We start from the raw sequence: 15,885 nt of genomic DNA, 5'->3' as shown, positions 1-15,885 counted from the left end.
GTAAAATGGGAATTTTATGTCTCATAAACCCAGCCTTGGCTGGGCTTGGTGGCTCACGCCTGTAATCCCAGCACTTTGGGAGGCCAAGATGAGCGGATCACTTGAGGCCAGGAGTTCAACACCAGCCTGGCCAACATGGTGAAACCCCATCTCTACTAAAAATACAAAAATTAGACGGGCGTGTTGGCGTCTGCCTGTAATTCCAGCTACTTGGGAGGCTGAGGCACAAGAATTGCTTGAACCCGGGAGGTGGAGGTTGCAGTGAGCCAAGATCAGGCCATTGCACTCCAGCCTGGGTGACTGAATGAGACTGTGTCTCAACAACAAAAAATAGCCCAGCCTTATGAGACACTGGTGAGCATCAAAGGAGATAAAGTGTGAACAAATATTTGTCAACTCTCAAGGGACATTAGGACGCAAGCTCTTATTCTGTCTGACTAGGTTTGACCTTCCCCAAATCCCCAAATGCTCCCCAGCCTGGAGGGCTTCCTTGGTGGGGGCTGAGCTTCCAGAGCCAGACCCAAGCTCCGTGTTGGTGTCGACCTTGGTCTCGTTTCCCATCCCTCTTCCACAAGCCCACCTTCTAGGAGGTTCATGGTGTCCTATTTGCTGTGAACAGGGACTGACCTATAATTGCAGGCTATTAACTGTATTTTCCTCTCTCATTTGCATACATGAATTTTGCCCTACTTCCAGAAAGCAAATTACAGGCTGGAAATCAGAATATTTCAGAAAGGGGTGATGGGGTTGGAGCGGAGTGATCGCTACATAATGAAGTGTCCGATGCTAAGGTCAAGGCTGGGCCAGGAAAGCGTCCACTGTGGGCCCATGTTCATCCAGGTAATGGGTTCGGGGGGTCTGGGAGGTGGCAGAGGGACCTCCCAGGCTGGGCTTCTCTCTAAAGGCCAAGGCAGGTGGCCCTGGCTCCTGCACCACAGGACGTGGCCCAGGGAGACAGGTGGTAGCTGCAGATGCAGTATGGCATTGTTCTCCTAGACATCCCTGGGTACTGGCTAGGTCTCTGCTGGGTTGGGTTCTGAGCAAGGACGAGTGAGATGGGAGGGGAGGGGGGATTAAAGCTCTCTGACCTCGGGTTCTGGATTTCCCATCTTGGCTGGCTCAGGGGGCCAGTCGGGTTATCACCAAAGCTGCAAAATTGCATCTTTGTGTCCTTTCTCTCTGGATTGAAAAAATTTGCTAAATTTGCTAGTTTGGATGCTTTTTTTTTTTGACCTGGGTAATGTCAAAGAGTTATAGACCCCAGGTACGATCAGGTGCAATGTCTACATTTTAAACATCAGGGAAGAAAGGTTGAGCCCCACATCCAACTGTGAGCTCTTTCATGGCCGTGTGTGCTCCTTGAATTCAAGTTTCTCTCTAGCTCTCATCAGCGGGGCACCTCTGTAAGCTAAACATGATTTGGATGGGAGTGGGGAGGGCTAGAAACCCAAACATCTATAGGGACCAAACCCGCCACAGAAATGAGCGTGCTGGACTGAGGAGGAAGCAATAAAGAATTTTACTCATTCCTTCATTTAGTCAGCTGGGTTTTTTTGTTTGTTTGTTTGTTTGTTTTTTTGAGATGGAGTCTTGCTCTGTTGCCCAGGCTGGAGTGCAGTGGTGCAATCTCGGCTCTCTGCAACATCTGCCTCCTGGGTTCAAGCGATTCTCCTGCCTCAGCCTCCCAAGTAGCTAGGATTAGAGGTGTGTGCCACCATGCCCTGCTAATTTTTGTATTTTTAGTAGAGATGGAGTTTCACCATGTTGGCCAGGCTGGTCTTGAACTCCTGACCTCAAATGATCCACCTGCCCCAGCCTCCCAAAGTGCTGGGATTACAGGTGGGAGCCACTGCACCCGGCCTGTTTTTTTAAAGAGACAGGATCTTGCTCCGTCACGCAGGCTCACTGCAGCCTTGACCTCCTGAGCTTAAGGGATCCTCCCACTTCAGCCTCCCAAGTAGCTGGGACTATAGGCGTATGACACCATGCCCAGCTAATGTTCAAATTTTTTGTAGAGACGGCGTCTCACTGTGTTGCCCAGGCTGGTCTCAAACTCCTGGCTTCAGGCGATCCTCTCACCTTGGCCTCTCAAAGCCCTGGGATTATAGGCGTGGGCCACTACGCCTGGCCCAGCAAACACTTATATATGGCTCATTCTGTGCTGGGTGCCGTTCTACTCACTTTGCAAATATTAACTCATCTCACCTTCATAGCGATTCTATGTAGTTGGTTCTATATTGATCCCCATTCTGCAGGTGAGAGAACTAAGCAGAGAGAGATTAGGAGACTTGCCAGCTGGTAGCAACAGAGCTGGGCTTTGAGCCAGACCACATGGTGGGGGCTGGGGATGCTGGAACAGGCACAACCTACAGTCCTGGCCCCCTACAGAGGGAGCTGAGGCTGGACTGCACTCCAGCCCCATTTTGCCAGATTTTCCAACATTTCAAGATAAACTGGAAATCTATAATTGTATGTGAAATCCTCCAGTTAAAAAAAGTTCACTTTATTTATTTATTTTTTTGAGATGCAGTCTCGTTCTGTCACCCAGGCTGGAGTGCAGTGGCGTGATCTCAGCTCACTGCAACTTTCGCCTCCTGGGTTCAAGTGATTCTCCTGCCTCAGCCTCACGAGTAGCTGGGATTACAGGCATGCATTACCATACTCGGCTAATTTTTTATATTTTTGGTAGAGACGGGGTTTCCTCATGTTGGCCAGGCTGGTCTAGAACTCCTGACCTCAAGTGATCCGCCTGCCTCGGCCTCCCAAAGTGCTGGGATTACAGGTGTGAGCCACCACGCCCGGTCAAGTCACTTTAATTTTGTAGGCACTGTGCGGCTCAAACAAAGTGCTGGATTTGGCCTGAGGGATTTGGGTGGGCATCTTCTGTCTGTGAGGAGGAGGAGGAAGGAAGGAGGAAGAGAAAGGAGAGGAAGGCAGAACTGAGAGGAGGAGGTTGGAGTGAAAAGGCTGCTGATGACAAACACCATTTATCCAACAAGCATTTGTTCATTTATTTATTTTGAGACAGAGTCTCGCTCTGTTGCCTAGGCTGGCGTACAGCGGTGTGATCTCGGCTCACTGTAACCTCTGCCTCCTGGGTTCAAGCGATTCTCATGGGATCACAGGCATGCGCCACCACCAGTTTAATTAAAGCCAGTTGATTTTTAAAATATTTTTTGCGTTTTTAGTAGAGATGGGGTTTCACCATGTTGGCCAGGCTAGTCTCGAACTCCTGACCTCAACCGATCCACCTGCCTTGGCCTCCCAAAATGCTAGGATTACAGGCGTGAGCTGCCGCGCCTGGCCCCAACAAGCATTTATTGAGCATCTATTGTATGCCCAGCCCTGTGCTGCTGCTGAGGGAACAGATACGACCAAGGCATGACTTGCCCCAGGAAGAGCTTATCGCTTTCTTCTCATCTGATCTGAGCTTCAAAAATGAGTGTGCTGTGGTGGGAAGGGCCCCTGCACCAGCCCAGCTCAGAAGACCTGGGCTCATCTCCGCTCTGAGCCCGGCTCACTGCCATGTTGGACTCTCTAAAGTTCCTTTGCTTCTTAACCTGAAGGAGCAGGGGCTGAGCGGGAGGGGCTTCCTCTGCCCACCTACCTTTATTAAGGGCTCAGAGTGGCCACGCCAAAGCCAGTGTTGGTGCACCTAAGAATTGCGGGGCCGGCCCCGCCCCGGGATCCCCAAGCAGGGCTGCCAGGGCACCTGTTTGACATCCCGGGGCTGGTTACTGCTCCCTTTGCACTGAGCCTGTGATTCTGGAAGCCGCCGCTAGGGGGACGGTGTTGCTGTCCTCACACGACAGTGGGCCTGGGCCGAATTGCTGAGAAAAGCAGAAACGACTCCTCACTCGGGCGCCGCTTGGTCTCCATCGTCCTGCCCTTGAAGCCCAGATGCCCCAATGCCCCAGTCCCTGGCATCCTTCACTGACCGAGGTGTGGGAGCAGGTGGGTGGGGGGGGCTCTGCATCCGTAAACAGAGTCGCACAGAGGTAGGCAGCACACAAGGAGCAGAGGCAGGTCTCTGCTGCCCCCGCCTCCCCTCCAGCCCCTTCCCCCATCTGAGAACCTCATCGAATTGACTGATTCATTCCTGGTGACTTCTGCAGCCGCCACTTCCGTGGCTGCACCTTGAACTTGCATTAAGTTTTAATTAAAGCCGTTTCACCGGCCTTGCCCTTGGCTAAATGCAGCTGTGGGCACAGGGCACATAGATATTTAATACTCTGCCTCTCCCCGCTGATGGCGCAGGGTGCCCAAGGGTGTACCCGAGCCGTGCCCTGCTCGCAGCGATCTGCGAGCTCGCTTAAGTGTGCCCACAGGCCCCGAGCGGGAGGCCGCGCAATAACTATTCATTGCCCTGGGTTAAGTGTGCCCAGGGGCACCCGTAAACTCAATGCAGTGATTAGCGATTGCTCCCAGTGAAGGCTGCCCGAGCTCCTGCGGAATGTCCACGGGCCCTAAATATAGCCTCCTCCTGGCGACTTAAAGGGCACGGTGCGTTTTGGCTGCGTACTTGTCACGTCTTCCCTTCCTTTCTTTTTTTTTCTTGGAGACAGAGTCTCACTCTGGCCAGAGTCGCCCAGGCTGGAGTGAGTGGGACAATCTCAGTTCACTGCAACTTCCGCCTCCCAGGTTGAAGCGAACCTCGTGCCTCAGCCTCCTGAGTAGCTGGGACTACAGGCGCCTGCCACCACTCCTGGCTAATTTTTTTATTTTTTATTTTTTGTATTTTCGGTAAAGATGGGGTTTCACCATGTTGCCCAGGCTGGTCTGGAACTCCTGAGCTCAGGTGATCCACCCGCCTCAGCCTCCCAAAGTGCTGAGATTCCAGGCATGAGCCACTGCACCTGGCCTTCCCTTCCTTCTTTTAGCAGAATTGCTTCCCTCCTTCTTACAGCCTGGCCTCTGGGGGCCTCTCTGTCTTCTTCCTGGTTCAGCAGGGGAGATGGGCTGGGGCACCATGGTGCAGCTTTGGTGGTGTTGTTGAGGAATTGCCGCATCCTCCTCATTCTGCCAGACCTTGTGGACATCTCCTCCATTTCTTCCACTTTGCTCCCCAAGGGAAGGCAGCACCCCCTAAAAGCAAGGCCATCACAGGGCTGACCCGAGGGGCTCCCTGTGGGCAGCCCGAGCCTGCTGCCAACATGGGCTCTCTGGGGCCAAGGAACAGCCGAGCTGGGCAACTGGGGAGGCTGCATGGTGGTGGCGGGCCTTTTCCTGGCCCCACCCACTCCTTTCTGCTTCTGGAAGCCCTTCTTTGCCCCTGGGGAGAAGAGGTGGGTAGCCTTGAGTTGGGGAGCTGTCAAGATGAGTCAGTCCACTCTGGCTCCAGTCTCCTCATTCTGTATTGGGTAGGAGAGGGGGTCTGATGGTCTCCGAGGGACCCTCTGCTGGTCTGTGACTCTGTCCGGTGCCACAACCTCCCTGGCCAAGTCTGACGCAAAGGCAAAGGGGCATTTGGAGAAAGTAGAGAGACTTGAGAGAGCACCTGGGTGGGGTGGCACTGGCTGCAGAGGGGTTTTGGGGAAGGTGCCTTGCCCACGCCATCACCTTGGGCCCTGGTCTGTGAAACGGGAGAATGGTGCCACCCTACGGGATGGCTGTGAGACTCAGGCGCGGTACGAGAAACCACTGTCTCGGTTTGCCTGGGCCTGTCTCAGTTTTAGCACTGAAAATCCCACATCAGGGGAACCTCCCCACTGCTGGGGAACCGGGATGGTTGGTGCCCCTAAGAATGGTGCCATTGGGGGGCACATGTGTACTCTCTGGGACCGTAGAAGCCCTCACTCTCTACTTCTGCTAGTTGGATCCAAAGTGGAAAGAAAAAGGGCGAGAAAGAAATTGGGACTTAGGGAGAAAAACAGACAAGAGGCCTAGGAAACAGCCCCAATGGAAGTGGGCCGTGAGCAGGGTTGGTCCCATGCACACCCGCTCTTGGCCTCACCAGCTGCGCCCAGGACCCCAGCTGCCCCCTTGGCCGGGCCTAGGATGGCAGCTGAGGCAGTGACATTTCCCTGCGTCTGTTGACACTCGAGTCCCAGAACATAAATGATTTTCTTGTCTTAATGAGCAAACAACCCTGCGGCACAGCTCTCTCACCGGCCTCCTGCTGGGGTAATTGCCGGTGCTGATGGGCACAGGCAGGGATGTTTGCTCACCTTTGCTCACCGCTTGCAGGAGACATTGCTTCCTCTTTGTCTCTGCAGGTCTCCCGGCCCCTGCCCCTGTGGAGGGACAATAGACAGGTAAGCGGGCCCCATTGAAGTAGCAGGAGCAACTCTCTGGAAGTTTCTGCTAGGACTGGTGGGTGCTCAGGATGCTCTGAGGCAGCTTTTGAGTTTGCTTGTCCTCCGGAGAGTGTCGTGGATGGTACAGACTCTTCAAGGACCAGGTCTTGCCGGCTGAAGTTTGAAGCTCCCACTGATGCCCTCCAGGCAGAGGCCTGAGGCCATCTGAGAACAATCTTGAAGAGGGGACCCCAGCTTTGGGTGGGAGGCTGGGTTGGAAGGCTGTAAGGTCCTTCCTGTGCTAAGATTCTCTCTGCCAAGTCTCCAGTGACAGGGAGCTTGTTCCTTTGTAAGGAGCTTGTTCCATGTTGCACAGGTGTTTCCCGAATTTTCCTTCTGCTGGTCCTTTGAGTGTTTCCCGCAGCCTCCCCGAAGGATCCAGTCCCTCTTCTCCATTTCACATCCCTTTGAATATTTGGGGTCAGTGAGCTTGACCTCCCCAAGTCTTCCTGATGTCTCCCTGCCAGTCCTCCTGAGATGGGAGCTGGCGACCCTTCCCTGTCCCTCTGCCCGCATCTGGCCCTCACCTTTATTCAAGACCCTGATTCCCATGTCCCACTAAAGGGTGGCAAACAGAGCCAAGGACAGGACTCCAGTTGTGCCCAGCCAGGGCGGCATAGGGGCCGACTGGTTGGCATTGCTGTTAGGGGTAACTGTGTGTTCGTTCTTTCAGTTGCGTTGTACACCTACTGTGTGCCAGGCACCCCTGCAAGGGACCTCCTACCCTAAAGTATAAGCGTGCTAGCGTCTGGTTGACTCTCCTCCCAGAGTGGCCTGCCGTCCTGCCTCCTGGCCTAGATTATCCTCCCCGTGACCCTGTTGCCTTCCTAGGTGACCCTTCAAGTGTCCCCTCTCCGTAACCCCTAGTGACCGTGCCTCCCTGGCCACATGGTTTGTGATCGTGTCCTCTTTCTCCAGACTCCATGGCTGCTGTCCCTTCGAGGGGAGCTGGTGGCTTCTCTTGAAGACGCCAGCCTGATGGGACTGTATGTGGACATGAATGCCACCACTGTCACCGTCCAAAGCCCGAGACAAGGCCTTCTTCAGAGGTGGGAGGTCAGTGGTGGGCAGCAGGCTCTGCCAGGAGGTGAGGGGCCTCTGGGGCATAGCACCTAGAAGAGCAGGTTGCCACCCCTCCAGTGACAAGTCAAATGTCCACCTGCGAGACTGGACAGATTTAGGCAGGCGCCTTCGAAAATTGGGCCCCATTAGCGTAAAGCGCTCCGCTCTGCAGATGAGGGGCTCCTGCAATCATGCATTCAGTGCGTCCTGATCATGGCGGCAGGAGCGTAATTACCGTCTCTTTAAATAGCCCAAAGTTGCTGTGTAAGAGAAGACGGCTCACATGACATTTGCTCTGAGCTCGCTTCCTGCTAAAAATATCTCAGCTAAATAATATTTCCTAGTTGCATCGGCGCCATAATCCCTGACCTGGGCTTTGTAACACTTGGGGCTTTAGTTCAGAGACTAATTCGAAGGTAGGAGAGGGGGCCCCTGTGGAGGGAGTCTGCATCTGGAAGGAGCAGTTTTGGAGACCTCAGGGGGGACCCCCCTTCCTCCCCAGGTGCTGAACACCTCTGCTGAGCTCCTGCCACTATGGCTGGTGAGCGGTCACCATGCCTATTCTTTAGAAGCTGCTTGCCCACCGGGTAAGACCCAGGAGTGCCCCTAATGTCCACCTTTCCAACTTCATCACATTCTGGTCTGTTTTCTCCCTCCTCTGGGCACCTTATTCCCCTCTGTCTCATCCCACCTCTCCTCTCCTCAGTCCCAACCTTGGCTATGCGTTTCAGAAATGCTCGGGACAAAGAGAAGTTTGCTTTTGCTGGAAGGTGTTGGGGTATGTGTGTGTGGAGTAGGGGTGGGATGTGGGGTGAATAAAAAGTAAAATCATCGGCCGGGCGCGGTGGCTCACGCCTGTAATCCCAGCACTTTGGGAGGCCGCGGCGGGTGGATTACGAGGTCAGGAGATCAAGACCATCCTGGCTAACACGGTGAAACCCTGTCTCTACTAAAAAAATACAAAAAATTAGCCGGGCGTGGTGGCGGGGGCCTGTAGTCCTAGCTACTCAGGAGGCTGAGGCAGGAGAATGGCGTGAACCTGGGAGGCGGAGCTTGCAGTGAGCCGAGATGGTGCCACTGCACTCCAGCCTGGGGGACAGAGCGAGACTCCATCTCAAAAAAAAAAAAAAAAGTAAAATCATCTACTACAGACCTGCAAACTTGAGGTCTGCAAATTCTTGGGAGCTCCTAAGCTGGCTCCAGAGGCTCTGAGAACAGAGACGGGAGAGAGCCTGCAGCCTGGTCAGACCCTCCAGGGCTCTGTGATCTGAGGGTGGTGGGGACCCCCTATCTAGACCATGTATGTGATAACTGTTTTGTTCAGCCTGGAGTGACACCGTTGCCCTGGGTCTTATGTCATATAAAGAGGTCCGGAATCTGGAAGACCACTTCCTACCTCCAGGGAATTTAAATTCAAAGAACTCGGTGTGCAAAGTTAGGTGGATCAAAGGCTTCATCCTGTGTGGGTAGATTAGAGGTGGTTTAGACTTTCCATTTGTATAGAATTTTATCATGGACTGAGTTTCGGGATCAGGGCTCAGGGCTCTGGGGATTTTCAGGCATTGGCAATGACCATGATGAGCCTCCAACCATCTCTTTCCCTGTTCACAGTGTTTCAAATCCCTTTATATAAAGGCAGATGCTTCCATTAGCAGCTGCAGAGCTGGCTTAAAATGTCCCCCTGAGAGCCTGACACAGTGAAATTCTTGCTAAAGTGTAAACAACTGATAGGAGCTGTATTTCTTTCTTTTTTTTTTTTTTTTTTGAGATGGAGTTTCACTCTTGTTGCCCAGGTGGGAGTGCAGTGGTGCGATCTCGGCTCATTGCAACCTCCACCTCCAGGGTTCAAGCGATTCTCCTGCCTCAGCCTCCCAAGTAGCTGGGATTACAGGCACCCGCCACCACGCCTGGCTAATTTTTTGTGTTTTTAGTAGAGATGGGGTTTCACCATGTAGGCCAGGCTGGTCTTGAAATCCTGACCTGAGGTAATCCACCCACCTCGGCCTCCCAAAGTGCTGGGATTACAGGCATGGACCACTGTGCCTGGCCTAGGAGTTATATTACTTAAGAGTTGCTTTGGAAATGGAAGGGGCACTGGGCTAGGTCACCGAAGCCAAAGACGGTCTCAGTAGAGACATTTCTGCAGCTTCCCTCCTGGCATCTGCTTCCTGATGGGCCTTTGCAAGTGGCAAGGTCTGTCAGGTGTTTGGGAATGGTCTTTTTTTCTTCTCTTCTTCATCCATGCAGCTAAGTTTCAGCCCAGGCAGTGATACCAGGACACCAAGTAACTTGCTGTCACTGACTGGGGAAGTGTGCTGTGCCGGCCACAGGTGTGGCCCCTGGCAAAGGCCCACCACCACTTAATTTGTCCACGAGCCTGCAAAGTGTGCCTTTTTCTGTGTCCTGTGTCCTTCCCATTCCAGTGTCATTCCAGCCAGAGTCGGAGGTCTTAGTTCACATCCCCAAGCAGAGACTGGGTCTAGTCAAAAGAGGTTCCTACATTGAGGAAACCCTGAGCCTCAGATTCCTCCGAGTCCACCAGTCCAACATCTTTATGGTGACTGAGAACAAGGACTTTGTGGTGGTCAGCATTCCGGCGGCCGGGGTGCTCCAGGTCCAGGTGAGTATCCGGTGGCATCTCTGTCTCGCCCCTTCTCTTCCTGAGGCCCTTCTCCTTTGGTCACCGATGCCATATGTGGTCAGAAACATGGAAGGTAGGCCAGTCACAGTGGCTCGTGCCTGTAATCCCAGCACTTTGGGAAGCCGAGGCCGGAGCGTCACTTGAGCCTGGGAGTTCAAGACCAGCCTGGGAAACATAGTGAGACCTCATTGCTACAAAAAAATTACAAAATGAGGTGGGAGAATTGCTTGATCTTAGGGAGTTGAGTCTGTAATGAGCTGTGATTGTGCCACTGCACTCCTGCCTAGGCAATGGGAGTGAGACCCTGTCTCAAAAAATAAAAGTAAAAAAGAAAGAAATGTGGAGGGCAGAGCTGTGGCGCTGGCTGAAAATGGACTTCACCATGTATGCTCCTCAGGCCCGTGCTTTTACCAAGGTAGCCCCATCAGGGGACAGCCACAGGGCATGGGATGCCCCTGCCATGTGCAACTAATTTCTTATCTTTTCTTTTCTTTTCTTTTCTTTTTTTTTTTTTTGAGACAGAGTCTCGCTCTGTTGCCCAGGCTGGAGTGCAGTGGCGCGATCTCGGCTCACTGAAACCTCCTCCTCCTGGGTTCAAGCGATTCTCCTGCCTCAGCCTCCCGAGTAGCTGGGACTACAGGTGCCCACCACCACGCCCAGCTAATTTTTTGTGTTTTTAGTAGAGACAGGGTTTCACTGTGTTAGCCAGATGGTCTCGATCTCCTGACCTCATGATCCGCCTGCCTCAGCCTCCCAAAGTGCTGGGATTACAGGCGTGAGCCACTGCGCCCAGCCAATGTGCAACTAATTTCTTGTGGCCCCACAGCGATGCCAAGAAGTCGGAGGAACCCCGGGAACACAAGCTTTCTATAGGGTAGACCTGAGCCTGGAATTTGCCGAGATGGCTGCCCCGGTCCTCTGGACAGTGGAGAGCTTCTTCCAGTGTGTGGGTGAGTGAGGCACCATGAGGGTGTGACTGCTGGTAACAGGCACACACCACACAAACCCTCTTTCCTTGGCCCTGGGGTTCTTTCTTCTGTGACAATGTTTCACTCCCTGGACCCGACAGATCCCACACCTACAAGGTAAGTGAGGTGTCAGACATACTGGCTGGAACTGGCAGAAGAACAACAGTATCATGAGAACTGAGTGGTGATGTGGTTCCTGGCCCTGGAGTCTGCCAGGGAGGGGACAAGGGAGGCGGATGGGGGTGCATCCATTTCCTAACCAACCGTACAACCTCAGTGAGTTACTTAACCATGTTGAGCCTCAGTTTTCCCATCTGGAAAATAGGCATACCAGTACCTATTTTGAGGACTGAATGAGATAAGGGGAATCAATGGCTTAGAAGAGTGAGTGCCTGGCACAAGAAGAGCTGTTTCCATTTATCCACTCTCTCTGTGTGGGCTCCAGTTCCTCCGGTCATTTGGTAGACAGACGAGTGTCCTTGGCAAAGAGCACGACACGATGCAACTTGTTTCTCAGCTCAAGAGGAACCTTCTTCTAAACGTGGTGTATGCCTTCATGCTAGGATGCTGGGATGGGGTTTTTGGCGAAAGCTCCGCTAATGGACAACCTGGTATTCACACATGCAAAACCACCAGGAGCAAAATCCATTGAAATACAGCACAAGGAAATGCACGTAATTCACAAACGATGTCGATCACTTTCATCTTATACTTCCTAACTGTCCTCAATCGAAGACAGACGCGAAGGAGATTTAACTCAGATGTTAATAGTGCAAGTTTGCCCTGTCACGAGGATATGATGTTTCGGTGTTGCACAAAAGTGTAATTATATTCAGAACTATATTTAAAGATTAAAAGGGGGACTGCCTACCACAGCTAGCCCCAAATTCAGAATTAGAAACAAAGAAAAAGGCGGGATTGGGGGTGAGTTCTGACAGTCTGCTAAAAATGGAAATGTTTCTTGAAAATTTTTACACATTTTGGCTGTTTTTATTTTAACAGTTTCCTGCAGTGATGACATTAATCTTGGAAAGCGAGGGCTAGAACTTTATCCAACAGATATTCAATAAGCAGTTGCGATTTATGAGGCCCCATGCAAGGCTTAGGTGGGAATAGAGGCTGCTGGATTTGGTTCTTGCTCTCAAGCAGCGTCCAATCTGGAAGGGGAGATAAGAAATGCCCACAGAAAGGCCAGACGCGGTGGCTCACGCCTATAATCCCAGCACTTTGGGAGGCCAAGGTGGGAGGATCACTTGAGGCCAGGAGTTTGAGATCAGCCTGGCCAACATGGCGAAACCCTGTCTCTCCTAAAAGAAGACATCTCTAATCTGTAATCGCAGCTACTTGGGAGGCTGAGGCAGGAGAATCGCTTGCACCTGGGAGGTGGAGGTTGCAGTGAGCTGAGATTGTGCCACTGCATTCCAGCCTGGGCAACAGAGCAAGACTCGTCTCAAAACAGAAACAAAACCAAAAAACAACACCAAAAAAATGCCCAGAGAATTATGAGGGCAGGTGAACTCAGGAGAGATGTCAGAGAGTAGGTGATCTTTATCCTAGGTTTTGATGAGAGGGCAGGTCCTTGATAGGAAGATACAGAGTACAGTATAAAAATAGATCAGCAACAGCAATAGAAACATTTTAGGAAGAGTTTTTTTGGCCTCTCTGGAAAGATTTACACGGGGAAAGAATGTTCTCTTCCTCATTTTGTTAATTTTACATCAGCAACCAGAATGAATCTCTCCCCTCCCTGGTTCCCAGCACACCTCCCCTGCACCTCCCCAGCAGCTTCCCTGCAGCTTCGAGGTCTTTCTATTCTTATTATAGTTATGGTGCATGCTCCTGTCTCTCCCTCTAGTATGAATTCATTCAGATCAGGGGCTGTGTCCTGTTCGGCTTCTTATTCTTGACAGGCCTTATCTTGCCGCCTTGCCCTTGTAAGCACTTCATAAATGCTTGTTGGCTTGAATTTTCACCAGGAATTAAAGAAAAAAGTTTTACACAGATAATATTTTTCTTTTGTAAATATGTGACTAATGTGTTGGAATATTAATATATGCTAGAATTGCCTAAACTCCCCGTGGTTAGAGATTTTTAAAAAATCTTCCTCTTCCCTGACCCCAAAAGTAATTAGAACCTATAGGACAAATCCTAATTATTGAAGTGTCTGGTCTGCAGAAATCTAAGAGATGGTTTAGATATAGTTGTTTTCATATGTGTGTGTATGTGTGTGTGTGCATATATATATATATATATATTTTTTTTTTTTTTTTAAATAAGAGACAGGGTCTTGTTCTATTGCCTAGGTTGAAGTACAATGTTGCAATCATAGCTCATTATAACATTGAGCTCCTGGGCTCAAGGGATCCTCCTGTCTCAGCCTCCTGAGTAGCTGGGATTATAGGTACAAGACACCATACCAAGCTAGTTTTTAAACTTTTTTTTTTTTTTTACCCCGAGACAGAGTCTCACTCTTGTTGCCCAGGCTGGAGTGCAATGACGCAATCTTGGCTCACTGCAACCTCCACCTCTCCTGCTTCAGCCTCCCGAGTAGCTGGGATTACAAGTGCCCGCCACCATGCCTGGCTAATCTGTATTTTTAGTAGAGATGAGGTTTCACCATGTTGATCAGGCTGGTCTTAAACTCCTGACCTCAGGTGATCCAGCCGCCTCAGCCTCCCGTACTGCTGGGATTACAGGCGTGAGCCACCATGCCCAGCCTTAAATATTTTTTATAGAGATGAGATCATGCATGTTGCCCAGGCTGTTCTTAAACTCCTGGGCTCAAGTGATCCTCCTGCCTTGGCCTCCCGAAGTGCTGGGATTACAGGTGTGAACCACTGTGCCCGGCCTGTTTTCACATTTTAAAGTCGGGTTCACTGATGGAAATGCCTCTCGGGGTGGGACGGGGAATGTCAGCGGCGGGACAGTGGGGAGGATAAGAACACCCAGGGCCTGGGCATGGGAGGATAAGGCAGCAAAGCTCAGTGTTGGAGGTGACAGGGAGTGGTGGAGAATCCTGGGAACCCGCAGCCACCAGGTCCCTCTAAGTGGAGCAGCCTCGCTTAGCTGGAGCTGATCCTATCTTGCAGGGAGGCAGGCCTGTGTAGCCAAATCTGGTTTTCCACGAGAACCTGGTTATATAAGAACTCCTGCTTTTAAAATGTTGTTGGTTAATTTAAAAAATAGTTCAAACACCCTGCAGGCCGAGTCAAACATGTCCAAGGGCTGTATTTGACCCTTGGGCCAGAATTTGCAAGCTGGAACCCAGCAGTTCTCAACTGGGATTTTTGCCTCTCAGGAGACACTTAGCAACATCTGGAGACCTTTTTGGTTGTCATGACTCAGGGGATCCTACCAGCATCTGGTGGGCGGAGGCCAGGGGGCCTGCTGAACACCCTGCACCGTACCTCCTCTCCTGCACTTGGCAAAGCATGATCGGCCTGGAATGCCTACGCTGCCTGGGCTGAGTCTGACCTGAAAGGTGGTCAGGCAGGGAGCACTCTCCGGTTCTCTGTGGTTCCTGAGGCTGAGCCAAGGTATTTGACCTCAAAATAGGAAATGGCTCAAAAGACGAAACCATCTGGTGGCATTGAAGCTGGGACAGGGAGTCAGGGCCAGGTGCCCCTTGCAGAAATCTGAATTTCTGTGACTTAATTTTAAAAAATGGGCCAGTCGTGGTGGCTCACTCCTGTAATCCCAGCACTTTAACAGGCCAAGGCGGGCAGATCATTTGAGGTCGGGAGTTCGAGACCAGCCTGGCTAACATGGTGAAACCCATCTCTACTAAAAATACAAAAAAATTAGTTGGGCATGGTGGTGCACACCTGTAATCCCAGCTACTTGGGAGGCTGAGGCAAGAAGATCACTTGAACCCAGGAGGCGGAGGTTGCAGTGAGCTGAGACTGTACCACTACACTCCAGCCTGGCCACAGAGTGAGACTCCATCTCAAAAAAAAAAAAAAAAAAAAAAGAATCTTGATGTCCACATAGTCTCAAAAAGGACTCCAAGTGGGAGGACTGTGAAATTCAGCCAATGGACATTTCCCAACCCAGGACTTGCATCTGACCTCCCCAAGCTTCCGTTCCCCACCTGTGGAAAAGGGGTCACTCATGGTCCCTTCAGCAGGGTGTTGGGAGGATTTTGCTTCCTTAGGAGGAAGGCTGACCTCTGTCTTCTCTCTGGAAGGTTCAGGAACAGAGTCGCCTGCCTCAACTGCTGCACTGAGGACCACTCCCTCCCCACCATCCCCAGGACCAGAGACCCCTCCAGCGGGAGTGCCACCTGCTGCTTCCTCCCAGGTGTGGGCTGCAGGACCAGCTGCCCAGGAATGGCTTTCTCGGGACCTCCTGCACCGGCCTTCCGACGCACTGGCCAAAGCACGTCTATGGCTGCATCCTCTGCCCATGGTTTCCTCCAAAGAGTCTGGTCCCCAAGAAGTATCGGTAGACCCAGCTGGGCCTGAGGCCCTTCTCTTTCACCACCATTCTTCCAAAGAGAGCCCCACTCTGATCCCCAACCATGTTACCTCCTCAAATTCAGAATATTTCCCATAGAAAGCTGGGCCCCCAAGAGCTCCCACCTGAGGGCAGCCCCCCTCATCTGTCGGCCTGGATCACGGCAGCCTCCCAGGGCCTTGAGACACAGCCAAAGGAGGCAGCAGAGGGTGGGGGGTCAGCAGCTATGCACACAAATGGAGGGAGGGAAACTGAGGCACACCAGAGGACTGGAGACCCAGAGGTCACAGTTTCCTCCAGCTCTTCTTTTTTTTTTTTTTTTGAGATGGGGTCTTGCTTTGTCATCCAGGCTGGAGTCCAGTGGCACGATCTTGGCTTACTGCAGCCTCCACCTCCCAGATTCAGGCGATCCTTCTGCCTCAGCTTCCCGAGTAGCTGGGATTACAGGCCCACGCCACCACAC

At 51.9% G+C, this 15,885-nt stretch overlaps 1 protein-coding gene across 6 annotated transcripts in view, besides 3 other annotated features; it reads left to right on the top strand.

Moving 5' to 3' along the window:
• The window catches only part of CIROZ (ciliated left-right organizer protein containing ZP-N domains), a 35,602-nt gene that overhangs the window by 17,109 nt on the left and 2,608 nt on the right, over positions 1-15,885 (top strand). For 4 of the 6 annotated variants that reach the window (NM_001170754.2, NM_001366227.2, XM_047446830.1 and 1 more), the window contains 7 exons: positions 697-840; positions 6,216-6,254; positions 7,215-7,352; positions 7,861-7,945; positions 9,782-9,978; positions 10,826-10,949; positions 15,154-15,344. In NM_001170754.2, the coding sequence (NP_001164225.1) occupies positions 697-840; positions 6,216-6,254; positions 7,215-7,352; positions 7,861-7,945; positions 9,782-9,978; positions 10,826-10,949; positions 15,154-15,344 (918 nt within the window). Of the gene's footprint in view, positions 1-696; positions 841-6,215; positions 6,255-7,214; positions 7,353-7,860; positions 7,946-9,781; positions 9,979-10,825; positions 10,950-15,153; positions 15,411-15,885 lie in introns of all 6 variants that reach the window. The other 2 variants (XM_047446828.1, XM_047446831.1) reach the window with 2 other exon arrangements.
• Positions 3,602-3,896: a silencer, noted in NCBI's record as "tiled region #3012; HepG2 Repressive DNase matched - State 8:EnhW". NCBI's record gives its function as "represses a minimal TATA promoter and a strong SV40 promoter by Sharpr-MPRA in HepG2 cells {active_cell/tissue: HepG2}" and the evidence as "EXISTENCE:reporter gene assay evidence [ECO:0000049][PMID:27701403]".
• Positions 4,199-4,968: an enhancer, noted in NCBI's record as "H3K4me1 hESC enhancer chr1:11020057-11020826 (GRCh37/hg19 assembly coordinates)". NCBI's record gives its function as "activates a minimal SCP1, AML or CMV promoter by ChIP-STARR-seq in naive H9 embryonic stem cells {active_cell/tissue: H9 hESC(naive)}" and the evidence as "EXISTENCE:reporter gene assay evidence [ECO:0000049][PMID:30033119]".
• Positions 5,738-6,507: an enhancer, noted in NCBI's record as "OCT4-NANOG-H3K4me1 hESC enhancer chr1:11018518-11019287 (GRCh37/hg19 assembly coordinates)". NCBI's record gives its function as "activates a minimal SCP1, AML or CMV promoter by ChIP-STARR-seq in naive and primed H9 embryonic stem cells {active_cell/tissue: H9 hESC(naive and primed)}" and the evidence as "EXISTENCE:reporter gene assay evidence [ECO:0000049][PMID:30033119]".

The sequence above is a fragment of the Homo sapiens genome, chromosome 1, assembly GCF_000001405.40.
Source record: "Homo sapiens chromosome 1, GRCh38.p14 Primary Assembly".
NCBI lineage: Eukaryota > Metazoa > Chordata > Mammalia > Primates > Hominidae > Homo > Homo sapiens.
This window is presented reverse-complemented; position numbering and strand designations above follow the sequence as displayed.